A 27,785-nucleotide genomic window follows, 5' to 3' on the forward strand; every position below is an offset into this window, starting at 1 on the left:
TAGCCGGGCATGGCTTGCGTGCCTGTAATCCCAGCCACTTAGGAGGCTGAGACAGGAGGATTGCTTGAGCTCAGGAGTTCAAGGCCGCAAGGAGCTATGATCGCACCACTGTACTCCAGCCTGGGCAACAGAGCAAGACCGTCTCAAAAACTAAAAGTTTCCAGATGATTCTATGGTATAGTGTTGTACAAGCAGGGTTGAGAATGAGAACCCCAGGTTTGAGGGGTAGAATCTGCTCCAAGGAATCCCAAAGTCACTCTTTTTTTTTTTTTTTTTTTGAGATGGAGTTTTGCTCGTTTCCCAAGCTGGAGTGCAATGGTGTAATCTTGGCTCACTGCAACCTCTGCCTCCCGGGTTCAAGCAATTCTCCTGCCTCAGCCTCCCGGGTAGCTGGGATTACAGGCATGTGCCACCATGCCCGGCTAATTTTGTATTTTTAGTAGAGACGGGGTTTCTCCATGTCCATGTTGGTCAGGCTGGTCTCGAACTCCCGACCTCAGGTGACCTGCCCGCTTAGCCTCCCAAAGTGCTGAGATTTACAGGCGTGAGCCACCACACCCTGCCCAAAGTCCCTCTTATGAACATCATTGCCTTGGCTGCTCTGCAGGGCAGGTGGCAGACCAGCCACAAGACACACACCCTTGAAAGCAGGCATCCTTCTCACCACCCCATCTGCAGCTCCTGGCATACAGTACGTGCTGAGGAGCACGTGGTTTATCAATCATCTTCTTCATCTTCAATATTTTTCTCCCGGGGCCAGGTGCGGTAGCTCACGCCTGTAATCCCAGCACTTTGGGAGGCCGAGGTGGGCGGATTACATGAAGCCAGGAGTTTGAGACCAGCCTGGCCAACATGGTGAAACCCCGTCTCTACTAAAAATATTAAGACAAAAATTAGCTGGAGTTGGTGGTGCACGTCTGTAGTCCCAGCTATTCGGGAGGCTGAGGCAGGAGAATCACTTGAACCACCCAAAAGGCAGAGCTTGCAGTGAGCTGAGATCGCACCACTGCATTCCAGCCTTGGTGACAGAGTGAGACTCTGTCTCAAAAATATATATATGTAATTTTCCTCCTGGAATGCACATCAACTGCTGGAGTTGTGGAACCAGCTACCACCGTTAGCCTGAGCCTATCCAGTCTGAGGCCCCAAGGAGGGAACTCAAACGGGGCATCCTTCCGACTGGCGTGACTTCATGTGCTCCACTCTGGCCTCCTGGGATTCAGCTGCCACTTGCTACCAGAGCAAGAGTAAGATGTTTCTCCGGAAAAACAAGTGCCTCCTGGTTGGAGGTGACAACAGTATCTAGGTTTATCCATTTATTTATTTACGTATTTATTTATTTATTGAGACAGAGTCTCAATCTGTCACCCCGGCTGGAGTGCCGTGGTGTGATCTCGACTCACTGCAAACTCTGCCTCCCTGGTTCAAGCGATTCTCCTGCCTCAGCCTCCCAAGCAGCTGGGATTACAGGCATGTGCCAACATACCCAGCTAATTTTTGTATTTTTAAAAAGTAGAGACGGTGTTTCACCATGTTGGCCAAGCTGGTCTTGAACTCCTGACCTCAGGTGATCCGTCCGCCTCGGCCTCCCAAAGTGCTGGGATTACAGGCGTGAGCTACCACCACCCCTGGCCATGGTTTATATCTTTTTTTTTTTTTTTTTGGGAGACGGAGTCTCGGTCTGTCTCCCAGGCTGGAGTGCAGTGGCTCAATCTTGGCTCACTGCAACCTCCGCTTCCTGGATTCCAGCAATTCTCCTGCCTCAGCCTCCCAAGTAGCTGGGACTACAGGCACGTGCCATCACACCCAGCTAATTTTTGTAGTTTTAGTACAGATGGGGTTTCACCAGTCTCAGACTGGTCAGACTGGTCTTCAACTCCTGACCTCGTGATCAGCCCACGTCAGCCTCCCAAAGTGCTGGGATTACAGGCGTGAGCCACCACACCTGGCCATGGTTTATCCTCTTAAACATGACCACAGAGGATGCACCTCATGGTGGCCCCAAATCCAAGAAAAGCACAGCTATCAGGACTCCTAACACTGTCTCCAGCTCAGGCTTAACCCAGGCTGCTGCTGTCTCCCATGTTAAATATCGGGGCTGGTGTTTAATGAATTCGGAACCCTTGGTTGGTGCAGCAGGAGCGTCTCGGGTAGCTGCATAGTGTCCCCTGGGAGGGAGAAAGCAAGTGTGGGGTCCTGGAGGCAGGGACAGGTGCCTGGTGCACGATCACAGGCAGGACAGAGCCTGGAGCAGATGCTGCCTGGGGCGGGGCTGGGCCAGTGCCGGGTGCTGCCCTCATGGCCATCTCTGAAAGGGTCTGTCCCATCAGGTGGTTAAGCTGGGCCACTAGGTCAGTCCTGGTGCCATGGATTGCATAGAGAAGACCCCAGAACAGTTGTTTGTTTGTTTTTGAGACAGAGTCTCGCTCTGTCACCCAGACTGGAGTACAGTGGTGCAATCTTGGCTCACTGCAACCTCCGCCTCCCCAGTTCAAGCAATTCTCCCGCCTCAGCCTCCTGAGTAGCTGGGATTCCAGGCACACGCCACCATGCACGGTTAATTTTTGTATTTGTGTTTTTATTTATTTATTTTTGAGCCAGAGTCTTGCTCTGTCACCCAGGCTGGAGTGCAGTGGTGTGATCTTGGCTCACTGCAACCTCCGCTTCCCGCCTTTTTTTTTTTTTTTGGCGCGCAGACCAGTGTTCATTCCTACTCCATGGGTGGGGGCAGGAGTGCCTAGATGGGAAGTCAGACCAGGCAGGGGTGGAGGAAGTCAGACCAGGCAGGGGTGGATGGACGACAGCCTGTGAGCTGGGGCTAACTGGATCAGGGCCTGTGGGTAGTCTGGTGACTGCATCCTCAGATGCTGCAGTGGTTAGACTGGCACCCACCAGGGGGCCCTTGAGGAGCTCAGAACATGGCTGCGTGGCAAGGGAGGGTCCCTGGGAGGCAGCTCACTGAGCCTTGTGAAGCCACCTGTGCCAGTGGCAGATGACATCCTCCTGCCTCCGGGGGGAAACCCAGTCTCGGGAGAGGAATGCCTCTCCCCAAGGTCAAAGAGTGGAGTAGGGCAGGGAAGCGAAGCGATTCTCCTGCTTAAGCCTCCCGGGTAGCTGGGACAACAGGCGCGCGTCACCACGTCCGGCTAATTTTTGTATTTTCAGTGGAGATGGGGTTTTGCCATGTTGGCCAGGCGGTCTCAAACTCCTGACCTCAAGTGCTCTGCCTGTCTCGGACCCCCGAAGTGCTGGGATTACAGATGTGAGCCACTGCACCTGGCCTCCCATAACAGGTTAAGCAGCTCCCACTGCCGTCCAGGTGAAGGCCAGGCCTCCTTTAGATGCTAGTACCGGGTGGAAGGCGAGAGAAATGTGGGATTTCATAAGCGCATCCTGAGTTTTGATTCTGGCCCAGGCACGGCACTGGGCACTTGGCCTCAGAATGCAACCTGCTGGGCCGTGCCCGAGCCTTCTCTTTAGGGCATTATTTGTCAGGATTTGACTTTGTCATGCAGAGCACAGTCAGCGCAGAAGTATTTCCTGAATTAATGAAAATGTGGGCTGACCATGTATTCAAGAAACAAGTCATGACAGCATCCTATTGAGGTTGACAACCTGAGCTTGGATTAGCTGTGAAGGGTTTTCATGCCAGTGAGACCCATCTCTTCCCCGAAGAAATTAGTGTGGAGTGGCGGTCTGCATACCTGCAGGGGCGAAGAGGATGGAAAACTGGACCTACGACCCCTGCAAACTGTCCGAGGGAGATGGGGGGGAGGCCTCCTCAAGGCTGACAACCTGGACACGCTACGTCTTCCACCCGGGTGCCTCTCTGACCTTGGTTACTGACCCCATCAGAGAGAAAGGGACAGAGTTGGTGTGTATGGAGAATGGCCTGGGGACACATGGGGTTGGTACAAGGCTCACTCCATCGCGGGTGCCATTCACGTGCTCACTAAAGCGAGAGGAGACGGGAGCTTGCAAACACTGATTTTTTGCAGGAACACGATGATCAAGCCTAGCAACCGAGCTAATGGCATAGTAGGGTTTCTATGGACGTGTGTGTCAAATGCTGGGGTTGGGGGAGGGGCGGCATTAGGGAAAGAGAGGACAGACGCTGAGATGCAGGCACAGGTGACAGCTGGGGAGAAGGCTTGGTCCACAGCAGAAGAGCTCCAACCAGGAGCCCTCGTGACCCACAGAAGGCACAGCCAAGCAGCCCTCCTGGGCAGACAGAGCCCAGCTGGAAGAAAGAAAAGACAAACCGAAGGACGTCCCTGCTTCTACACTGCTTGCTATGTCCAAAGTCAAGATCATTACTGGGGCTGGACCTGGTGGCTCACGCCTGTCATCCCAGCACTTTTGGAGGCCGAGGTGGGCGGATCTCTGGAGGTCAGGAGTTCGAGACCAGCCTGGCCAACATAACAAAATTCCGTCTCTACTAAAAATACAAAAATTAGCCGGGCGTGGTAGTGCATGCCTCTAGGCCCGGCTACTCGGGAGGCTAAGGCAAGAGAATTGCTTGAACCCAGGAGGCGGAGGTTGCAGTGAGCTGAGATCATGCCACTGCACTCCAGCCTGGGCAACAGAGAGAGACTCTGTCTCAAACAAACAAACAAAAAAGATCATTACTAGATCTGTATCTTGGTTGCCATTAGGGTGGGAGGTTTATTAAAAACTCACCTTCTCCAGAGACCCTCCATCCCCCATCCTCACCTGCCATCCCGAACCCCGCCCAGTGTGACCCGGGTCTGACCTCCAGGGGCACTTACCATCTCTAGATCAATACGTGAGTTTGATCTAGGCTTGAGTTTCACTGAGGTCGGATTACCCTGCTTCACTGCAGAGGCGACTTTAGACCCAGCCCCAGTAACGGTTTCAGGAAGGAAAAATGACACACGGTTTTCAATTTCTATTTCAAGTTTATGAGAAAATTTGACTGTAATAAACCTAAGAATGGGGTTCGCAGCCCAGGTGAAGGGCCCCTCCCCTAGATATCTGAGTGGCTGGTTCTCATGGCCGCAGGTCACAGCAAGGACACTGCTGGCTGGGTGACCATTCCACTTTAAAGTGCAGCTCTAGGCCGGGCACGGTGGCTCACGCCTGTAATCCCAGCACTTTGGGAGGCCAAGGTGAGCGGATCACCTGAGGTCAGGAGTTCGAGAACAGCCTGGCCAACACGGCAAAACCCCATCTCTACTAAAAATACAAAAATTAACTGGGTGTGGTGGCAGGCACCTATAATCCCAGCTACTCGGGAGGCTGAGATAGAATTGCTTGAACCGGGAGGCGGAGGTTGCAGTGAGCCGAGATCGCGCCACTGCACTCCAGCCTGGGCGACAGAGCGAGACTCCATCTCATAACTAACTAACTAACTAACTAACTAAATAAATAAAGGGTAGCCCTCCCGAGATCCCATCCTCTCCTCCTGCTTTCTCTCAACGGCCCACAGAACCACTTCATATGCTGCTTCTCATTTTTCCCGTTTCCCTCCCTAGAATGTAAGCTTCACGGTGCGGGGATTTTTGTCACCACATGCCCCAGCATGAGGACAGTACTGGGCACCGATGGGGCACATGACAAGTATCTGTTGTGAACGCATTAAAGGAACGAGGTAAAGGCAGACAGGGCATGGGAGTCCAGCCTGTGACATGAGTACCAAGTATTTTCTCCCAACTGAACTGCGGGAGTAGAATCTGTTCAGAAAATATTTGTCAAGTATGGCTGGGTGCGGTGGCTCACACCTGTAATCCCAGCACTTTGGGGGACCGAGGCAGGCAGATCGTCTGAGGTCAGGAGTTCAAGACCAGCCTGGCCAACGTGGTGAAACCCCATCTCTACTAAAAATACAGAAAACAAATTAGCTGGGTGTGGTGGCGCACACTTGTAGTCGCAGCTACTCGGGAGGCTGAGGCAGGAGAATAATTTGAACCCAGGGGGTGGAGGTTGCAGTGAGCTGAGATCATGTTGCTGCACTCCAGCCTGGGCAACAAAGCAAGACTCTGTCTCAAAAAAAAAAAAAAAAAAAGAAAAGAAAAAGAAAATATTTGTCGAGTAGGACTGTCTTCTAAACTATTTTTCAGTTGAGCACGGTAGCTCACACCTATAATCCTAGCACTCTGGGAGGCCTAAGCAGGAGGATGGCTTGAGGCCAGGGGTTGGAGCCTAAGCAACATAGCAAGACCTTGTCTCTATAAAAAAATAAAATAAAAAGACCTCATCTCTATAAAAGTATTTTTCACTGGCTTCTGCCTCTGTATCAAAAGGCTTGTTTATAAAAGCAAAACTCTAAATGATCAAGTAAGATTTAAGAAGATCTCTTCAGAGCTTAAAAACCAAAAGGCAGAAAATAGACTTTATTCCAAGACAGATTTGTAAAAGATGTTTTTAAAGGGAAAGGCAAGTCACGCTACTAAATCAAACATTGTTCACAATTTCTGGATCTTCCTCCTCCGCCTGGCACTGCAGCTGAGCCTTGGCGGATATGCTCGGGGCCCTCGGCGCAGAGGAACTTGGCCTCGATTCTCTTCCTGAGGGGCTTCTTAACTTTTCCAAGCCAGGCAGTGAGCGTGGTGGGAGGCTGGGGCTGGTGCCTGCGGACAGCTCCAGATGGAATCCCAGGCCACGGTGCTTCTAGTGTCCCCCCAGCGAGCTTGCGGTGTGGCAGGCGGCCAGGAAGGGCCATGAGCAGGGTGGCCTGAATGAAAACCGAGGGCCGAAGCCAGCCTGACTCCCTCGCCTAAGCTGGGGCTCGGTCCGAGGCACACGCATGGCCTTGGCCAGACACAAACCAAGAGACTGCCATGACAGACAGAGCAGAAACCTCCCGAGCACTGTGTTCAAGCTAAGCTTTCCTAAGACGGGCTTCTCAGGCGAGACGTGACACCAGACACCGTCGCATGTTACTTGGAGAGAACAGAGACGTGCGGGCCACAGCGGCCCACCAAAGGCTGCCATCCAAGCTGAGTTCCGCAGGCCTCACCTGCAGCTGGAGAGGGACCTTGCCCTGATCCTCCTGGTAGGTACCCGCTAAGGGATTCAGGACAGAGCGTCACACTGCACGCAGGGTCCTCCGCCACCACCATCCAAGAACCCCGGGGGGCTGGCCACGCGCTGGCCTCTGCCAAGGAGTGCCAGTGGTTCCCGGGACGGGGCCGCCCAAGCAGGTGAGGGAGGTTTAGATGAATGACTTGGCCAGGGTCACCATGTGGTCCACGCCACATGCCACGTCCACAGGCTCCCCAGGCATCGTCACCTGAAAAATAAGATCCAGCATACCATGGGTGGGGGTGGCGCACCCGGAGGAGACAGGCGCTGGTGTTGGCCGACCCGGCCCTGCCTCTCAGTAGGAGACTCAGTAGGAGACAGCTTGTCTCAGCAGGAGACAGCTTGTCTCAGTAGGAGACAGCTTCTCTGAGCCTCGGCTCCCTACCCTCTGGGAATGGGGGCACTTAGGCCTCCCCAGCAGGTCCATCAGGACAACTGCGTGTGGTCATGAGGACAAGGCCATCCCAACTCCCTCCAGTCAATGGCAGCCATCACCATTCACATCAGCCTGAGAGGGCATGTCGGGCAGGAACATGGGCCTGTGTGCATCCCTGGAACCTGCACGCCCTACAGGGGCTGCTCCCCTCTGACCCTAACCCCACTAGGCTCCATGCCCCCAGGCCAGGTGTTCAGAGATCTCTCCTGGGAGCCACTGCTATGGCTCACTAAGAAGCTCCAGGGGCTGGGCGCTGTAGCTCACGCCCATAATCTCAGCACTTTGGGAGGCCAAGGCAGGCGGATCACGTGAGGTCAGAAGTTTGAGACCAGCCAGGCGTGGTGGCAGGCGCCTGTAATCCCAGCTACTCGGGAGGCTGAGGTGGGAGAATTGCTTGAACCCAGGAGGTAGAGGCTGCAGTGAGCCAAGATTGCACCACTACACTCCAGCCTGGGTGACAGAGCGAGACTCTGTCTCAAAAACAAGCTCCAGAAACCCTGTCTCTTGCCTTGCAGGTCCAGTCTGGGAATCAGGCCCCACTGGCCCAACATCTCCACTCATCTTACCCGTCACCCCCAGCTCCAGTCACAGGCAGGCTGCGTCCCAAGTCACGACCACCAAGCAGGGGCAGTGGCTGTGTCTCAAAGACCCTTGCCAGGAGCCCTGATCACACTGCCTGTCTGGGCTGACAACATGGCATCAGAGGACAGCCCAAGCTTCAAGGGAGCAAGAAGATGGCCTCACTGAGACATGGAGGCTCTAGCCTGTTGGAAGGGCGCCCACTGTTCTATAGCCTCGCCATGGAAACGGACACCCTCAACAACTCCAGGTGTGCCCAGGGCCATAGCCAATCCAGCTATCCAGGAAAGGGGCACTCTGCTTTCTCTTTCTTGTTTATTATGACTAGGCAGTGCATTCACATAGCTGCAAGATAAAAGGACATTCAGTGAAAAAGAAGAAAAAGCTATTAAATGATTTTTATGCCGGGCGCAGTGGCTCACACCTGTAATCCCAGCACTTTGGGAGGCTGAGGTGGACTCCACTTGAGGTCAGGAGTTCAAGACCAGCCTGGCCAACATGGTGAAACCCTGTCTCTACTAAAAATACAAAAATTATCTGGGTGTGGTGGCGCACGCCTATAACCCCAGCTACTCGGGAGGCTGAGGCAGGAGAATCGCTTGAACCTGGGAGGTGGAGGTTGCAGTGAGCTGAGATCGCACCACTGCACTCCAGCCTGGGCGACAGAGCAAGACTCTGTCTCGAAAAAAAAAAAAAAAAAAAAAAAAGTCTTTCATTACCACACCTATCACCAGCTGCCCCAGTCCCCATCTGCCTCTGAACTGAAAACTACTTTTAACTGATTTCTTATTAACTTTCCAGAGGTTTGTTTTGTTTTTGTTTTAAGAGACAGGGTCTAGGCCAGGCGCAGTGGCTCACGCCTGTAATCCCAGCACTTTGGGAGGCCGCGGTGGGCAGGAGTTTGAGACCAGCCTGGCCAACATGGTGAAACCCCGTCTCTACTAAAAATGCAAAAATTAGCTGGGCATGGTGGCAGGCGCCTGTAATCCCAGCTACTCAGGAGGCTAAAGTAGGAGAATTGCTTGAACTCAGGAGACAGAGGTTGCAGTGAGCCGAGATCACGCCATTGCACTCCAGCCTGAGCAACAGAGCAAGACTCTGGCTCAGAAACAAAAAAGAGGCAGAGTCTCACTTTGTTGCCCAGGCTGGAGTCTAGTGGTGCAATCACTGCAGGCTTAACCTCCTGGGCTCAAGTGATTTTCCCGCCTTAGCCTCCCAAGTAGCTGGGACTACAGGCACGTGCCACCATGCCTGGCTAATTTTGTTTGTTTGTTTGTAGAGACAGAGGTCTCACTATGTTGCCGAGGCTGGATTATAGAGACACAATCATAGCTCGCACTACAATGTCGAACTCCTGGGCTCAAGCTATCCTCCCACCTCACCCTCCCAAGTAGCTAGGACTACTGGCATGCACCACTATGCTCAGCTTATTTTTGTATTTTTTGTAGAGACAGGGTCTTGCCATGTTGCCCAGGCTGGTCTCGAACTCCTGGGCTCAAGTGATTCTCCTGCTTCAGCCTCCCGAAGTGCTGGGATTCCAGGTGTGATCCCCAGGCCTGGCCTTCCAGAGGTTCTTTATGCAAAGAAGCAGATATGCATCTCTCTTTTTTTTTTTTTTGAGACGGAGTCTCGCTCTGTCACCAGGCTAGAGTGCAGTGGCGCAATCTCAGTTCACTGCAACCTCCGACTCCCTGGTTCAAGCGATTCTCCTGCCTCAGCCTCCCAAGTAGCTGGGATTACAGGCATGCAGTACCATGCCCAGCTAATTTTTGTATTTTTCGTAGAGATGGGGTTTCACCATGTTGGCTAGGATGGTCTTGATCTTCTGACCTCGTGAGCCACCTGCCTTGGCCTCCCAAAGCGCTGGGATTACAGGCGTGAGCCGCTGCACCTGGCCTTCTCTTCCTTTCTTAAGTGCCAACTGCAAAGAAAGTGACCCTGCCTGGCTTGGCCGGAAGACCCCTGCCAGGATGCTGGCACTTGATCTACTGACCAGATCCGAATTCGACCACCCTCCCCTGGTGGCAGCATGCAGCCAGGTGGTGTGACAGCTGGAAAGGGGATCTGTCACAGTCTGTGGAGTTTACCGAGCTTAAGAGGGAAACCGCCTAATCCAGATGGCCTGGCCCTAAAAGCCGAGAGGCGGCAGGCGCCGACCCCGGAGCTTTGCACCTACGCCAGGAGACAAGACCATTAGGGACTCCTGGCCACAGCAGATGGATGCTAGAAACCAAGTCATGCTGTCATCCCCCAGCCCTGTCCCTAAACAAATGAATGTCTTTAGCAGAACCTATTACAGGAATCACTAAACAAACAAGAACGGGGCCCAGTGAATCGCAAAGGCACGTCGATGCAGAAAGCCTGAGAGGCTGGCCGGAGAAGAAAACAGGCTGCCTCTGCAGGGACTGGGCCCCGACCGCCTCTTAGCAACCTCCCCAGCCATTAGGGAGCACTTTATTTACCTTTCCCGGGACAGTGCGCTTCCTCACGGCTGCACTTAAGCCCCCAGGTCCTTGCTCCCCGAGGGCTCTGGCCATTCAAGCCCAAAGCAAAGGAAGCCACGATGGTCTCTGCTGCGGGTGGCCTGGGCAGCAAGGGCCCGGCTCCTGGGAGCCAGCCCTAGGGACCAGCGGGAGGCTCCCCAAGGTTCCAGCTCCCCCTGGCGGACAATCTCACACGGTCTCTGAACTGAGTCCAAGAGGAGACTGCCCTCAGCCATGTTTTATTTTTGTCCTAGGCAAGGTTAAATGGCGTTTTTCTTCTAAGCCAATTTACACTCACAACTCCGCTGCTGAGGGAAACAGTTCCAAAAACCAGAACCATATTTAGCCTTGGTGACTCTCTTAAAAGTCTCAGCAGAATCCATTTAGGAACATCCCTATCCACAATTACAAGTTGCTAAAACGAACGCCCACCAGGTGAAAGACGGGGGTGCGGGAAGAAGGAACCCTGGGCGGTGAGTCCTTCGTGGGGACAAGAGAGCCAGAGAAAGGGAGACTACTCCGGCGCCCAGCTCTGCAGTTCAATGGCACCAGCTTTTCTATTTTTTTTTTTTCAATGAGACGGAGTCTCGCTCTGTCACCCAGGCTGGAGTGCAGTGGCACGATCTCGGCTCACTGCAACCTCCGCCTCCCAAGTTCAAGCAATTCTCCTGCCTCAGCCCCCCAAGTAGCTGGGATTACAGGCATGCGCCACCACACCTGGCTAATATTTGTATTTTTAGTGGAGACAGGGTTTCACCATGTTGGCCAAGCTGGTCCCAAACTCCTGACCTCGTGATCCGCCCGCCTCGGCACCCCCAAAGTGCTGGGATTACAGGCGTGAGCCACTGCGCCCGGCCGCTTTTGTATTTTTAAATTTTTGTTTAGAGACAAGGTCTTGTTCTGTTGCCCCCGGCTGGAGCGCAGTGGTGTGATCATAGCTCACTGCAGCTTCCAACTCCTGGGCTCAAGTGATCCTCCTGCCTCAGCCTCCCAGGGAGCTGGGATTACAGGCACACGCCACTGCACCTGGGTCATTTGTTTTTTGTAGAGATGGAGTCTCACTATGTTGCCCAGGCTGGTCTTGAACTCCTGGCCTCAAGCAATCCTTTCGCGTCAGCCTCTCAAAGCGCTGGGATTATAGGCGTTGAGTTACCATGCCTGGCCTGTGCCCGGCTTTTAACTTGTACTCCTCTCCTGCATTGTGAGAACCACCTAGGTGGGTACATACACAGATGAATAAATAAAATTATATATATATATTTTTTGGAGACAGAGTATCACTCTGTCGCCCAGGCTGGAGTGCAGTGGCGCAATCTCGGCTCACTGCAACCTCCGCCTCCTAGGTTCAAGTGATTCTCCTGCTCAGACTTCTGAGTAGCTGGGATTACAGGCGTGCACCCCCACGCCTGGCTAATTTTTGTATTTTTAGTAGAGACGGGGTTTCGCCATGTTGGTCAGGCTGGTATCGAACTCCTGACCCCATGATCTGCCCATCTTGGCCTCCCAAAGTGCTGGGATTATAGAGATGAGCCATAGCGCCTGGCCAATAATTAAAAAAAAAAAAAAAAAAAAAAAAAGAACCACCGGCCAGGAGCAGTGGCTCACACCTGTAATCCCAGCACTTTGGGAGGCCGAGGCAGGTGGATCACCTGAGGTGAGGAGTTTGAGACCAGCCTGGGCAACATGGTGAAACCTCATCTCTACTAAAAATACAAAAATTAGCCAGGCATGGTGGCACATGCCTGTAATCCCAGCTACTGGGGAGGCTGAGGCAAGAGAATCGCTTGAACCCGGGAGGCGGAGGTTGCAGTGAGCCCAGATTGTGCCACTGTACTCCAACCTGGGTGACAAAGCAGGACATCGCCTCAAAAAAAAAAAAAAAAAAAAAGAACCACCACCTAAGACCCAGGGCTATGGAAGGAGTCGTATAAGCGAGGCTAGAAGTCAGCGAGCTCCCCAGCTTGTGTCTCCAGACCCCACCGGTCCTGACCTGCAGGGCCCACGGGGAGGGGAAGCACCGTCTACAGGCAGAGTCGCAAGTTCAAATTATACCCAATGAGCTCAGGGGCCGTGAGACCTGGGGCAAGCCCCTTCGCTCCTGACTTCCGTGTCCCCGTGTGCACACTGTGGAGGGAGAAACCCCACCCTCAAGGTGTCTGGAGGATGAGAGAGAATGGACATCACGTGCCCAGCACGCTGTCCATGCCCTGCCCTCCCCCGAAGCCAGGCTGGAATGTTTGTCTGTGGAAAGCCAGGGCGCTCCCTGGGGGATGAGGGGTGAAGGCCACTCCACACCCCCTCGCTGCCTGCTGTAGGTCTGTGGCACTCCCCCTTAGGTCAGAGGGTCTTGGAAGGCCAGACAACGCCTGGTCAAATGTTCCGTGCCACTGCGTGCTGCCTTCTCTCCACACCAGCTTCAGGCTCGCCCAGGGAGGTGGGTGGCCGTGGAAAGACCATTGTCTTAAAAGTCAGATGTAACTGAGTCCAAATCCTGGCTCTGACTCCAACTTAGATATGTGACCCTGGGAAACCACTGAACCTCTCTGAGGGATGAGTCTCAACGTGTAGCAAAAAAACATGTCCTGGAAAGTTTCTGGAAGCAGAGGTTTGAATCAGGTGGCTCAGATGTCACCTCCCGGGCCCACATACTCAGAAAAGGCCAAATTCTGCAAGTCTAAGAATAACTAGTTGGTACCAGTGTATGAGCTACAAGTAAAGTTTTACTCTTTTTTTCTCTTCTTTTCTGGAATACTTTTTAAATGATGTAATATATCCCCTACGGAAGATTAATTTGAACATAGTTGTTTTAAAGAATAAAGATCACCCAAGCCAGTGACTCACCCCTGTAGTTCCAACATTTTGTGAGGCCAAGGTGGGAAGACCACTTGAGGCAGAAGTTTGAGACCAGCCTGGGCAACATAGGAAGACCTCATCTCTCAAATAAATAAAATAAAACAAATAAATATAAATAATAAAATAAGCCGTGTGTGGTGGCACATGCCTGTAATCTCAGCTATTCCAGAGGCTGAAGCAAGAGGATCACTTGAGACCAGGAGGTTGAGATCAACACATAAGACCCCGTCTCTTAAAAAAAAAACGAAAAAAAAATTATTTGGGTGTGGTGCTGGCACATGCCTGTCATCCCATCCCACATCTCAGTTACTTGTGGGGCTGAGGCAGGAGGATAGCTTGAGCCTGGGAGTTTGAGGCTGCAGTGAGTGTGATCACACCATACTCCAGCCTGGGCGACAAAGCAAGACCCTGTTTTCAAAAAAAAAAAAAAATCCTGGGCAACACGGCAAGACCCCATCTCTACAAAAAATACAAAAATTAGCAAGGTGTGGTTGTGCAAGCCTGTAATCCCAGCTACTCGGGAGGCTGAGATAGGAGGATCACTTGAACCTGGGAGACAGAGGCTGCAGTGAGCCGAGATCCTGTCACCACACTCCAGCTTGGGTGACAGAGCAAGACCCTGTCTAAAAGAACAAACAAACAAAACAAAGAAAAGAAAAATCACTTGTAATTTTTTTTTTAAGTGAGTCATCAGAAGGGACTGGACTCTCCCACCCCAATCCAAAGAGGACAGGGGTCGAGGCCACTCCGTGCACAAACCCTTAGGGGCTCCCTGAATGTGCAAGAGGAAGGACAATGGTTTGGCGCCAAATGCCGCCGTCACGGGGACAGGCTGGGGTGCTCTTTTCCCAAAGGCACAAATGTGTTTAAAAAGCAAATGATAGCCAGGCGTCGTGGCATGCACCTGTAATCCCAGCTACCAGGGAGGCTGAGGAAGGAGAATCACTTGAACCCGGAAGGTGGAGGTTTCAGTGAGCTGAGATCATGCCACTGCACTCAAGCCTGGGCAACAGAGCAAGACTCCATCTCAAAACAATAATAATAAAATAAAAATAAAAATAAAAAGCAAATGACCAGAAGGACACTTGGTGTGTGGCGAGCCAGGGCAAGTGACCCAGATGGAATGTCAACGGGATCGGGCTCCGGCCACTCCCTGCCCGCACAGGGACCAGCGCTTTGCACATGCCCTTATGGCAGGGGCAACGTGACCTGAGTCAAATCTCAGGCTGATCACTCTGATTTGAAGGAAATGAGGGCGGGGGGCAGACCCTCGTCAGCGTTCTTTCACCCAAAACCCGGCTGCTTTAACTGTTTCCCAAGTTCCCCCCTCAGAAGGAAGTCCTTTTCGAAAGAAAGGGCAAAGTGAGAGAAGAGAGGAGTCAGTGAGAAAGCAAGTGGGCATGTAGATGACTGATGCTCACATTATCTGAGCCACACCCACTGCCCGACTCTCTGTTCCTCACACCGGCAGTTTCCAGGCTCAGGAGAAAGCCGGCAAGCCCCACCACCTTGGGAACAACTCTATTATACAAACAGCTTTCCAACAAGGCTAAAGTCGCCCGGGCGTGATGGGTCATGCCTGTAATCCCAGCACTTTGGGAAGCTGAGGGAGGCAGATTGCTTGAAGCCGGAAGTTTGAGACCAGCCTGGGCAACATAGTGAGACTCCCATCTCTACTAAAAATAAAAAAATTTGTCAGGTGTGGTGGTGTACGCCTGTGGTCCCAGCTATTCAGGAGGCTGAGGTGGGAGGATCACCTGAGCCCAGGAAGGTCAAGGCTGCAGTGAGCTGTGATCACATCACTGCAATCCAGCCTGAGTGATAAAAGTGAGACCCTGTCTCATAATAAGCAAAAACAAAAAAACAAAGTTAAAGTCTCCATTTCAACTTGCTTTCTCAGAGCCTCCACCGATAGTCTTGGAAAAAATATATATATATATATATTTAATATATATAAACGTATAATATAAATGTATTATATATGTATATATATTTATATGTGTGTGTGTATATATACACACATATATACACACACATATAAATACATACATATATATATACACACATATATACACACACACACACATATATATACACACACACATATATATACACACATATATATATACACACATATATATATACACATTTCTTTTGCAAGTCCTTTGTTTTTTTTTGAGACACAGTCTCCCTCTGTTGCCCAGGCTGGAGTGCAGCAGCGTCTGATCTTGGCTCACTGCAACCTCTGCCTCCCGGGTTCAAGTGATTTCCTGCCTCAGCCTCCCAAGTAGCTGGGATTACAGGCGTGTGCCACCATGCCTGGCTAATTTTTGTATTTTTAATAGACATGGGGTTTCATCATGTTGGTCAGACTGGTCTCGAACTCCTGACCTTGTGATCCACCCACCTGGGCCTCCCCAAGCGCTGGGATTACAGGTGTGAGACACCACACCTGGTGCAAGTCCTTTTTAAAAACGCTTTTCACAATTTCAAAACAAATTAAAATCCAACCTTCTGATAAAATACACCCATATGCACACTGCACACACATGTATGTACTCACAGGCACACACACACAAAGCACGCATGCACACCAGTCTCTATGCAGAGACTATCTCTGGAAAGGAACATAAAGAAATCAGGACCAGTGGCTGCCTCTGGAACAAAAACTGGGTGGTGGGAGACTCATTTTCCATAGTGCATTTTTTTGTACCATGAACATATGTTTCATGTTCAAAAAACCCCAAAAACCTCCTTTTTTAGAATGCCTTAAAGAACTGACTTAGTAAACAACACTAAGGTAAACTACAATTTTAGAATGAGCGTCTCTTCCCCTGTAATTCTGGAAGGAGCCTTTTTGTCTAATTGCATACTACCGCCCCTAAGGAAGCGACTTTATTTTTTCACTTCATAGCTGCGGTTGGGCCATCTAAATATTAAACATCCTGCTTTCTTTTAAATTCATTGTGAAGCATTCCCCCACATGGGCTTCTGTAAACAGCTTCTAGCGTGCCAACTTCATCCAATATCTCCCCCTCTCCGGAGCCTCATGGCACCCTACCAGAGCCTTTGCACCATCGTGCCTCTGTTTCCCCGATCCACCCCAAGGATGGCCTCCGACAGGGCTTCTTATAGGACTGGATGCTTGAGTGGGCTACTCCCTCCAACCTCCCAGTCAGTGGGCCGGGATGGGTTGACCCAGCTCCTGCACCCCAAGAAGCCTGGTGTCACTCCCCCACGCATCACACCATGCAGATGCACCACGGGTATCTCATGGGTGTCACCACAGAGTGTGCAATGACATAGCATGCCGCGCTGCAGGAGTGCAGCCAGGACCCGGAAGGGGGAGCAGGTCCCATGGCCCTCGTCCTGGCCCATCTGCACGCGAGGTGTCTGCAGTGACGTCAGGTGACTCTACTCTTAGCATCCATTCTCAAGACCTCCCCGGCCAGCCTTACCCTCCATGGGAAATACTGGTCCTCCAGGCGACCGATTCCCAGGCACCCTCGGATGTTCTTGCCCCATACAAACAGCTCTCCTTTGTCTGCAAAGGGAGGAAAACAGGGGTTGGTTGGGACTGTGTGAAGAACAAGTCTCCAAGGAGAGGATGGGTCATGAGAACAGGCTTTCTAGAACCAGATACCTACAGAGCCCACTGTTCAGCTTTTACCAGGCGTTCATGCTTTCTTTGAAGGCAAAAGTAAGGGTCTGAGATGCTGTCCCCATATCGAAAACACATCCACGGCCAGGACTTCTGCTGCATCCACCCACGTGGGAGATGAGCACTCAAATGAAGATGGGGCAGGGGGCAGTGCACGGGGCTGGGGGTGATGCATGGAGCTGGGGTCTGGGGGTGGTGCACGGGGCTGGGGGTGGTGCATGGAGCTGGGGTCTGGGGGTGGTGGACAGGGCTGGGGGTGGTGCATGGAGCTGGGGTCTGGGGGTGGTGGACAGGGCTGGGGGTAGTGCATGGAGTTGGGGTCTGGGGGTGGTGGACAGGTCTGGGGGTGGTGCATGGAGCTGGGGTCTGGGGGTGGTGCACGGGGCTGGAGGTCACTGATGCACACGGCCCACTCTGCTCACCCCTTGTGCCCCGCCCACAATCGTGTGCCACCAAACTCTGCCTTCCACAAATCCTGGCGACACCCTGGGCTTCCTGATTTGACAGTGAAAAGTAAGACAATTTGTCATTCCTGGATTGATTGTCCATATCTTGGGAGCATTCAGCCACAGGGCATCTAATGACCAAGTGCCTGCTTGTGCTGGGTCTAGGTCTGTGTTCCAGGAGCTGGGGACTGGCCAGAGACGGAACAGACAGATGATTTTAATATATGTTTACAAACTGTAAAAACTGTCATGAAGAAAAAGTACAAGATGCTGTTTAAGAGGTCAACCCAGGAGATGGCCTCTCCTAGCCCGGCCTTCAGGTGGGACTCTGTCTGCACCAGCTGGGGCACTCCTGGGCCCATGTCACCATCAGCTGTTGGGCAAAAGGCTTGGGTCATGGGAGGCAGAGGAAGTGACATGGAAAAGCCAGGACTACAAGACCTGGGGCTGATGAAGTACGGAATAATTACAAGCTGTCTTAGGCCCCTGATCTAAGCATGCCCCTTGTTCTCCACACTCAGACCTTAGATAGTTTTTGTGTGTGTGTGTTTGTTTGCTTTTGAGACAGGGTCTCACTCTGCTGCCCAGGCTGCGACGCAGTGGCACAAACATAGCTCACTGCAGCCTTGAACTCTCAAACTCAAGCAGTCCTTCCACCTCAGCCTCCAGAGTAGCTGGGACTACAGGCGCACACCACCACACCCAGCTAATTTCTGTATTTTTTGTAGAAAAGGGATCTCACTATGTTGCCTAGGCTAGTCTCGAACTCCTGGGCTTTGAGGGATCCTCTCATCTTGGCCTCCCAAAGTGCTGGGATTACAAGCATGAGCCACTGCACCCAGCTAGCCCTTAGGTGTTTAATAGAACAATTCGGCCTGGCTCCCCAAAATGCTAGCAGACCACAGGATAAACCAACCAACTCTAATTCCCAGATGGCTATCTGCAAATGCCAGGCACACAGGCAGGAAGACAGCTAGGCTCTGTCTACCAACAGGCAGTAACTCACCCTTAGAAGGAGGCCTGTTAAGTCTCGGGGAGAAATCCAGAAAGGAATTTCATTTCGCTGTGACCTGAAATGGCTACATGGCATGAGGGCAAATAGAAAAGCCTCTGCTCTAGTCAAATGCTTCACACAGATTTCTAAACATGTGTCTCTGCCCATAGTTGAGGCCTTAAGAACTTTCTGGAAAGTAGATATTTGTTTCCCCCAAAATTAGTCCATACGACTCTTATTTATCAAATCAAAATAGCTTTAAGAATTCATGACACTGAATTAGCCGGGCGTGGTGGTGTGTGCCTGTAATCCCAGCTACTTGGGAGGCTGAGGCAGGAGAATCGTTTGAACTCGGGAGGCGGAGGTTGCAGTGAGCCAAGATCGCGCCATTGCACTCCAGCCTGGGCAACAAGAGTGAGACTCCAACTCAAAAAAAAAGAATTCATGAGACCTACACTCAGCTGCAAATGCAAGTGGCCACTCTGGCTGGGCAGTGGCCAGGAATTCTCTGGCTTAGTCATGACCACTGCCACTTCAGTGCTTCAGCCTAGAGCCAGATAAAACTCCAGCTGGCAGCCATAACAACCCAGGCCTGCCTGTTTGACGGCCTCTGGAGCCTGGAATTCAGACAATAAGTGAATAGCAGTTAGGACCCTGGTACAGAGGGTGAGCATCTGGGACAGGCCCCACGTGGGAATGAGGCCAGAGAACTCAACCAAAGATGACACCAACTGACTGTCCCGGCCTGGATGTTTAAAAAGAAAACAATTACTTGCCATGAGATGAAAAGATTCTTTTAATTGCAAGGAAATAACTAATTTACTTGAGAATCACAGAATGAAATTAATTCAGGACAGTTTTACTATTCGAGTCAACTAAAGAGCAGCAAATTGAACCCACGGTAACTGTGGTGGAGTAAGAGATGTAACCAAGAAAAGGACACATTCCTTACCCTTACCCTGCAGGGTAAGCGGATATTCTGTGGCTTTGTAATCTGGCAGGCCTTTGGGAAAAACCTCCATTTTGCTCTCCCCTTTCATCATTCTCTACCCCGGCACTTTGGAGAAATCGGTAGATTTACCTCCGTGAAACCACGGGACAGTCTGACAAATCGGCCTTTTGCCATCCCATATCCTGGGTCAGATCAGGGTCTGGGCTCGGCCAGGGAATGGGATTAAGCCCCACACATTCACTTCCTAATCACCCACCCATGGATCCGCCAAGCCTCTGCTGGTTTCCTCCAGCACCCGACGTACTAGCAATGCCCCTTCCTACCACCGACGGGTGCTCTCTTGAGAAAATGCACGTTCACGTTAGCCTACCCACAAACCAAACGAACCAAAATTAAAACTCCAGGGGGGGAAAACAAGACATTATACAACCTCGAGGCAAACAACTTCTGGCTTAGCCCTTGCTTGAGTTATCAGTACAAAGGCGCCGTTCTGTTGGATGGGTGGAACCTGAGAGCTGCCCGCAGTTTGGGGTTGAACTGGAGACAGAGAACCTCTGCTGGGCTCACACCAGGGCCACCGGGCTTGGTAACTTACTGGTCAGTGCAGCAAAGTGGCTGAGTCCACATCGGATGCGGGAAACCTGGATTTCTGGGTTGAACTCCGTCAAGCCAAAGAGAGTGGGTGGAATCATTTCAGGGACGGCACTTTCCACTAGGTTTGGACCTTTCCCAAGAATTCCATAGCCCCAGACAAAAACATGTCCTTCTCCTACATTACAGTAAAAACAAGGGTCAGTAAGTCCATCCAAGTAAGAACCTCCCTCACCAGAAACTCAAACTACACCACCAAGGTTTATGACATCCACACGGTTTTTTTTTGTTTTTTTTTTGTTTTGTTTTTTTCCTCCTTGCTTGGCAAGAACATGCAGACAGAGATTTAGAATAATAATTCTCTCTCCCCTGCTTAAATTCTTGCTGGGGGAGTCTGTCTCGCCAGCTCTCCTGGCTCAGAACACAAACTTCCCACATCTTGAGGGTTAGTAACCTGGAAGGGACGAGCGTATAAATCATCCAGAAAACCCATACGAATACCAGAGAATTGGAGGATGTTTTCTCCCCCTAATGACAGCTCTGTGTTTCACACTGATCAGAAGGCCAAACACATCAACAATGTCTGGCCAGATTCTTAAAACTCTTAGAAATGATGTTTTGGTTATAGAAAGTTTAATATTCATCAGTGGTGCCAGATATTTCATCGTTATCCAAAGCTGAAGGCTGTTCTCCCATCTGCCTTTGATTTTTTGGCTGGAGAAGGCAGAGCTGGAGTCTCTCTGGCCCAGGCTAAGGGAGGGGAATGAAGTAGTTCGCTCTCCACTCCAGAGGTTTGCTCTAGGATGACTCAGCTCTGTGGCCATGTATCTACAGATAAATCGCAGACTATTCGCTTTTTGTTAAGAACTTCATTCACACCCTGTAATGCCATCTTCTAATCCAATGCCATCTTCCCATGGCCATAGTCCCTTCCTTTTTTGAAACAGGGTCTCACCGTGTTGCCCAGTGCAGTGGCATGATCATAGCTCACTGCAGCTCGAACTCCTGGGCTCAAGGGACCTTTCTGCCTCAGCCTTCTGAGTAGCTGGGACTACAGGTGTGCACCACCATGCCCAGCTAATTTTTCATTTTTTCTTTTTCTATTGAGACAGAGTCATCCAGGCTGGAGTGCAGTGGCGCAATCTCGGCTCACTACAACCTCTGCCTCCTGGGTCCAAGCAATCCTCCCACCTTAGCCTTCCAAGTACTAGGATTACAAGCATGTACCACCATGTCTGGCTAATTTTTCTATTTTTAGTAGAGTCAGGGTTTCACCACGTTGGCCAGGCTGGTCTTGAACTCCTGACCTCAGGTGATCTGCCTGCCTTGGCCTCCCAAAGTGCTGAGATTACAGGTGTGAGCCACCACACCCAGCCTTCCAGCTAATTTCTCCATTTTTTGGTAGAGACAGGGTCTCGTTATGTTGTCCAGGCTGGTCTGGAACTCCTGGCCTCAAGCAATCCTCCTGCATCAGTTCCCCAAAGTGCTGGGATTACAGATGTGAGCCACCGCGCCCAGCCATGTTACCCTCCTAAGGCTAAGGTCTACGGCCTGCAAATCCAATGGACACTGACCACTCCCTATGTAATCTACCTACAGCTTCCCAATGAGCCACCGGAAAGAAGGTCTCACCGTTTAACACTGCACAGCCCGTGCCACCGCATGCAGCCTGTCGCACCTTCCCCACTCCTGAGAAGTGTAAGCAGCGGGGCACATTCACCTGAACCAAAGAAAGGAGCCACACTGTTAGGAAAGCAAGCCAGTAAGGACCGGGAAGTGTTCTGGTCTTAGGTACAGAGTAGCTGAGTCCTAGTTCATTCATTCACTCCACAGATACTTCCTGAACATCACATGCCAAGCATCATACTAGGTGCTGGGGTAGAATGGGAAGCAAAAGAGGCCCAGTTTCCACCCTCAGAGAGTTCTAGTCTAGTGGACGAGGCAGATGTCAACCAAAATTAACATAAAATGACATTTGTGGCCGGGTGTGGTGGCTCACGCCTGTAATCCTAGCACTCTGGGAGGCGGAGGCAGGTGGATCACTTGAGGTCAGGAGTTCGAGACCAGCCTGGCCAACATGGTGAAACCCTGTCTCTATTAAAAATACAAAAGTTAGCTGGGCGTGGTGGCAAGTGCCTGTAGTCCCAGCTACTCGGGGGGCTGAGCCAGGAGAATTGCTTGTACCCAGGAGGTGGAGGTGGTATTTTTGTATTTTTTTTTAGTAGAGACGGGGTTTCACCAGGTTGGCCAGGCTGGTCTCGAACTCCTGACCTCAGGTGATCTGCCTGCCTTGGCCTCCCAAAGCGCTGGGATTACAGGCGTGAGCCACCACGCCCAGCCTATTTGCTCTTTTTTTTCGAGACAGAGTCTTGCTCTGTCACCCAGGCTGGAATGTGGTGGCACGATCTCAGCTCACTGCAATCTGCAAGCGATTCAATTCTCATGCCTCAGCCTCCCCAGTACCTGGGATTACAGGCATGCACCACCACACCTGGCTAATTTTTGTATTTTTTTGGTAGAGATGGGGTTTTGCCATGTTGCCCAGGCTGGTCCTGAACTCCTGACCTCAAGCCATCTGCCTGTCTCGGCCTTCCAAAGTGCTGGGATTACAGGTGTGAGCCACCACACCCGGCCCCTTAACACTTTAATGTTTCCAAACCTCCCAGCACCACGCTGTCGGCGACTGCATACCTGTGTGGAGTCAGTGACAGAGGCCAGCTGCAGGTACTCCGAGTTTCCCCAACCAAAAAGTCCTCCGTCGGCGGACACGGCCAGGCAGCAATCACCGTAGGTGGCAACTTGGATAACGTTCACTCCCGCCAGGTCTCCACCCAGCTTGGTGGGCGAGCTGGTGATATTGTAGTGACCCAGACCTAACACAGTGGAAAATACAGATTTTTAATTATTCGCTCTTTTAACAAACACATAGGCAGACTTACTATATGCCAAGTGCAGTTTTAAGCACTTAACAAGTATCAGCTCAGAAATCCCAGTCTGGGGCTGGGTGCAGTGGCTCACGCCTGTAATCCCACCACTTTCAGAGGCTGAGATGGGCAGATCACTTGAGGTCAGGAGTTCGAGATCAGCCTGGTCAACATGGCGAAACCCTGTCTCTACTTAAAAAAAAAAAAAAAAATTACAAAAAAATTATTAGGGCATAATGGTACATGCCTGTAATCTCAGCTACTCAGAAGGCTGAGGCACAAGAATCACTTGAACCTAGGAGGTGGAGGTTCCAGTTAAGCCAAGATCACACCACTGCACTCCAGCCTTGGCAAGAATGAGACTCTCAAAAAAAAAAAAAAAAGAAAAAAAAAGAAAAGAAAGAAAGAAAAGAAACCCTAATCTGCTTAGTTGCATGCTCATACAACTTTTTTTTTTTTTTTGAGACGGTCTCACTCTGTTCCTCTGGCTGCAGCGCAGTGGTGCGATCTCGGCTCACTGCAATCTCCAGCTCCTGGGTTCAAGCAGTTCTTTAATTCTTGTGCCTCAGCCTCCCAAGTAGCTGAGATTACAGGCACGCACCACCACAGCCGGCTAATTTTTGTATTTTTCACAGAGATGCGGTTTCGTCATGTTGGCAAGGCTGGCCTCAAAACCCCTGACCTCAGGTGATCCGCCTGCCTCAGCTTCCCAAAGTGCTGGGATTATAGGCGTGAGCCACTGCGCCTGGTCTAAAATTTTTTTATATTGAAATAGAGACAGCATCTCACTATGTTGCCCAGGCTGGTATCGAACTCCTGGGCTCAAGCAATCCTCCTGCCTCAGCCTCCCAAAGTGCTTAGATTACAGGTGTGAGCCACCTGCCTGATCACAACAAGCAATTTCTAATGCACTGGTGGTCTTGCTAAAAGTAAAGAAAATCTCTAAGAGCCCATGCCATCCCCAACACCACTCCCAAAAAACAGGGAACTTAAAATGGCATGGTTAACAATAAGCAGAGAGGCTGGGCACAGTGGGTTCATGCCATTCTCCCGCCTCAGCCTCCTGAGTAGCTGGGACTACAGGCGCCCGCCACCATGCCCAGCCAATTTTTTTTGTATTTTTTAGTAGAGATGGGTTTTACCGTGTCAGCCAGGATGGTCTCGATCTCTTGACCTCGTGATCCACCTGCCTAGGCCTCCCAAAGTGCTGGGATTACAGGCATGAGCCACCGCGCCCGGCCCCGATCTTTTTACTGTCTCCATAGTTTGTCTTTTTCAGAATGCCATATAGCTAGAATCCTATAGTATGTAGCCTTTTCAGATAGGCTTCTTTTAATCAGTATCATGCATTTAAGTTTCCTCCATGCCTTTCCATGGGTTGGCAGCTTATTGCTTTTTAGTGCTAAATAACAAACTTTACATTGTCTGGATGCACCACGGTTGATCCATTCACCTGCTGAGGAATAGGCCCCTTTAAGGACCCTGGATGAAGGCAAGAGTCTACAGTTCAGTGCTCTGCCTTGGGCTGCTGGCCAGGGGTTACCCCCATACCAAGTGCCAATAATGACATTTGCCTTTGGGCAGGTCCTGCCTGTCCTTTTCTCTGCAGTTTGTGTTTGTTTGTTTTTGAGACAGAGTCTTGCTCTGTTGTCCAGGCTGGAGTGCAATGGCGCGATCTTGGCTCACAGCAACCTCCGCCTCCCGGGTTCAAGCCATTCTCCTGCCTCAGCCTTCCTAGTAGCTGGGATTACAGCCGTGTGCCACCACACCCAGCTAATTTTTGTATTTTTAGTAGAGATGGGGTTTCGCCATGGTGGCCAAGCTGGTCTCAAACTCCTGACCTCAAGTGATCCGCCCACCTCGGCCTCCCAAAGTGCTGGGATTACAGGTGTGAGCCACTGCACCCAGCCTTCTCTCAGTTCATTTCTATGGGAGCCAGGGCTGAGGGGAATGGAAGGGATGCAAAAAAAAAGTATTACAGCAGGGCACAGTGGCTCCTGCCTGGAATCCCAGCCCACCAAGAGGCCACAGCAGGCAGACTGCTTAAGGTCAGGAGTTCAAGACCAGCCTGGGCAACATGGCGAAACCCTGTTGTTACAAAAAATTAGCTGGGCTTGGTGGCTCACACCTGTTGTCCCAGCTACTCTGGAGACTGTGGTGGGAGGATCACCTGAGCCTGGGAGTTTGAGACTGCAGTGAGATGTGATCGCGCCACTGCACTCCAGCTTGGGCGATGGAGCCAAGAATAGTGTTCCTCAGAAAGTGATAAGAGGTAAGAGCTGAATTAAGGAAGAAGGGTTCTAGCCCATAAATGCCCTACAGCTCACAGCTCCACATGACACGGGCTGAGAAGTTTCACGACCCCAGTGCATGAAAAGAACTCTACCTGTTTGCCCATCAGCACCCCATCCACAAGAATAGACTTCTCCTTTATCCGTCAGGAACAGACTATGATCCTGACCACAGGCGACCTAGCAGACAAACAGAGGTAAGGGGGATGAGAGGAAATACTTAGAACCCTGGTGTCCTCATCCAAAGAAGGACCAGCACCATCGCCTGCCGCTCCTGGGCACCTGGAGCATGGTCCAGGCAGACTGCTCCATGCTCATCTTACTCCTTCTCAATCTACCAGTCTCCCACTGCATTGAAACTGCTCTTGTTAAAGTAAAATGCAGATCTCCAAAGGGGCAAATCCAAGAGCTCTGCCATCCATCCCACGCCATCTCCAAAGAACCACCCCTTCTCCATAACCCTTCTCCTCCCAGCCCTCTCTTCTACTTTCACAGCTTCCAGCCTTGCTCACACACTCAGCCTCTACTTCAGACCCTTTGCTGTTGGGATCTCTCTCCAGGGTGTGTCTCCTGCCCTCCTCTCTCCTCACTCCTCATGCTACCCTGGGAGATGGGAGCCATTCTCAATGCTTAACTGTGGCCTCTGCACTGTGATCTCTGGTCTCAACAACTCTCCTCAGTTCCAAACTCATTTTTCTAACTGCCTAAAGAAAAGCACCATCTATTGAACAATTTTTACACCAGGCATTGTGTTAAGTCAATAACCAAAACCACCTAGTAAGAAACTGAATCTCAGCTGGGCACAGTGACTCACTCCTGTAATCCCAACACGTTGAGAGGCCAAGGCAGGTGGATCACTTGAGGTCAGGAGTTCAAGACCAGCCTGGCCAACATGGTGAAACCCCATCTCTACTAAAAATACAAAAATTAGCCAGGTATGGTGGCACATGCCTGTAATCCCAGCAACTCGGGAGTCTGAGGCACGAGAATCGCTTGAACCCAGGAGGCAGAGGTTGCTCTGAGCTGAGATTGTGCCACTGCACTAAAATAAAAAAAAAGAAAAAGAAACTATCTTGGAGATGTCTGGTAACTTGCACAAAGTCACTCAGTCTAATAGGTGAAGGAGGCCTGACATGGTGGCTTAACCCATAATCCCAACAGTTTGGGCAGCCAAGGCGGGAGGATGGCTTGAGGCCAAGAGTTTGAGACCAGCCTGGCCAGCACAGTGAGAATCTGTCTCTTTAAAATAATTAGCCGAGGATGGTGATGCACACCTGTAGACCCAGCTACACAGGGGGCTGAGGCAAGATCACTTGAGCCCAAGAGTTCAAGGCTGCAGTGAGCTATGATCGTGCCACTGCATTCCAGCCTAGGCAACAGAATGAGACCCTGCCTCTAAAAAATTTCCAAATAAAACCAAAAAGCCAGCCGTATCACAGTATGATTAGTGCTGTGGTGTTCTAAGCCAGCTGTATTTTGCTCTCCATTTTATTCTCATCCCCAGAATAGTGCCTGGCTCATGGTAGGTACCTATCATAAATATTTCAATGCACATATGCATGAATACAGCAAGTGCTGTGATACTTTTGCCTCAGCCTCCCCAGAGGCTGACGTTACAGGTGTGAGCCACCACATCCGGCCTCAGTTAGCTTTTTAACTTGTTCACTCACTAGAGTGTCATCCCCAAAAATCTGTTTTTTTTTGAGACAGAGTCTTGCTCTGTCATCCAGGCTGGAGTGCAGTGGTGCAATCTCTCAGCTCATTGCAGCCTCCACCTCCCAGGTTCAAGCAATTCCTGTGCCTCAGCCTCCTGAGTAGCTGGGATTACAGGCATGTGCCACCACACCCGGCTAATTTTTGTATTTTTAGTAAAGACGGGGTTTCACCATGTTGGCCAGGGTGGTCTGGAACTCCTGACTTCAGGTGATCCACCTGTCTCGGCCTCCCAAAGTGCTGGCATTACAGGTATAGCCACCACACCCGGCCCCAAAATCTTATTAAACTTTGTATCCCTAGAATCTAGCATAAATCCTGGCCTATAGTAAGTAGGCTACAATTTTTACTAAAATAATTTAATTCAGAAAATCCCCCTAACAAATTTGCCATCACCCTACCCAAATCTCAACTTTTCAAAAGCACCCCAGGAACACAACAAGCAGCTCTCGGCCCATCTCTCTTACCTGGACCACCTGGCCATCGAAGTCCTGCATCCTGTGGACTCTGTGACTTTCACTACAGCCAGGAACAAATTGGGAAGAAGCAAGGGATGCGGTCATGACAAGCACTGTGCAGCCCTTTCCCTGTCACCCCAACTGATGGCCCGTCCCCTCCGCTCACACAGTAACTGTTGGGGTAACTCTCAAGGTCAAATCTTAGGTCGAGTCAGGCCTGGTCATGAAAGTAAAGCCAAACAAAATCCTAGGTGATTTTAACACATGGCCAAAGTTGAGAGTGGTGTTAAGGCCCTCCAACAACATACAAGGAACTAGAGGGAAGTGTTTTTAAACACTAAAATGAAAAGAACTCACCGG

At 51.1% G+C, this 27,785-nt stretch overlaps 1 protein-coding gene across 4 annotated transcripts in view, besides 1 other annotated feature; it reads right to left on the reverse strand.

The window, feature by feature from the left end:
- The window catches only part of RCC1L (RCC1 like), a 46,684-nt gene that overhangs the window by 8,739 nt on the left and 10,160 nt on the right, over positions 1 to 27,785 (reverse strand). For 2 of the 4 annotated variants that reach the window (NM_030798.5, NM_001363447.2), the window contains exons 5-11: positions 27,435 to 27,486; positions 25,350 to 25,434; positions 22,731 to 22,912; positions 21,672 to 21,759; positions 20,044 to 20,217; positions 16,854 to 16,939; positions 6,326 to 7,252 (exon numbers count right to left, since the gene is read on the reverse strand). In NM_030798.5, coding sequence (NP_110425.2) covers positions 7,175 to 7,252; positions 16,854 to 16,939; positions 20,044 to 20,217; positions 21,672 to 21,759; positions 22,731 to 22,912; positions 25,350 to 25,434; positions 27,435 to 27,486 — 745 coding nt within the window. In that variant the 3' untranslated portion in view covers positions 6,326 to 7,174. Of the gene's footprint in view, positions 1 to 6,325; positions 7,253 to 16,853; positions 16,940 to 20,043; positions 20,218 to 20,655; positions 20,868 to 21,671; positions 21,760 to 22,730; positions 22,913 to 25,349; positions 25,435 to 27,434; positions 27,487 to 27,785 lie in introns of those variants that run through there. The other 2 variants (NM_148842.3, NM_001281441.2) reach the window with 2 other exon arrangements.
- Positions 10,042 to 10,541: an enhancer, noted in NCBI's record as "H3K4me1 hESC enhancer chr7:74785909-74786408 (GRCh37/hg19 assembly coordinates)". NCBI's record gives its function as "activates a minimal SCP1, AML or CMV promoter by ChIP-STARR-seq in primed H9 embryonic stem cells {active_cell/tissue: H9 hESC(primed)}" and the evidence as "EXISTENCE:reporter gene assay evidence [ECO:0000049][PMID:30033119]".

Source organism: Homo sapiens, chromosome 7, assembly GCF_000001405.40.
Source record: "Homo sapiens chromosome 7, GRCh38.p14 Primary Assembly".
Taxonomy (NCBI): domain Eukaryota; kingdom Metazoa; phylum Chordata; class Mammalia; order Primates; family Hominidae; genus Homo; species Homo sapiens.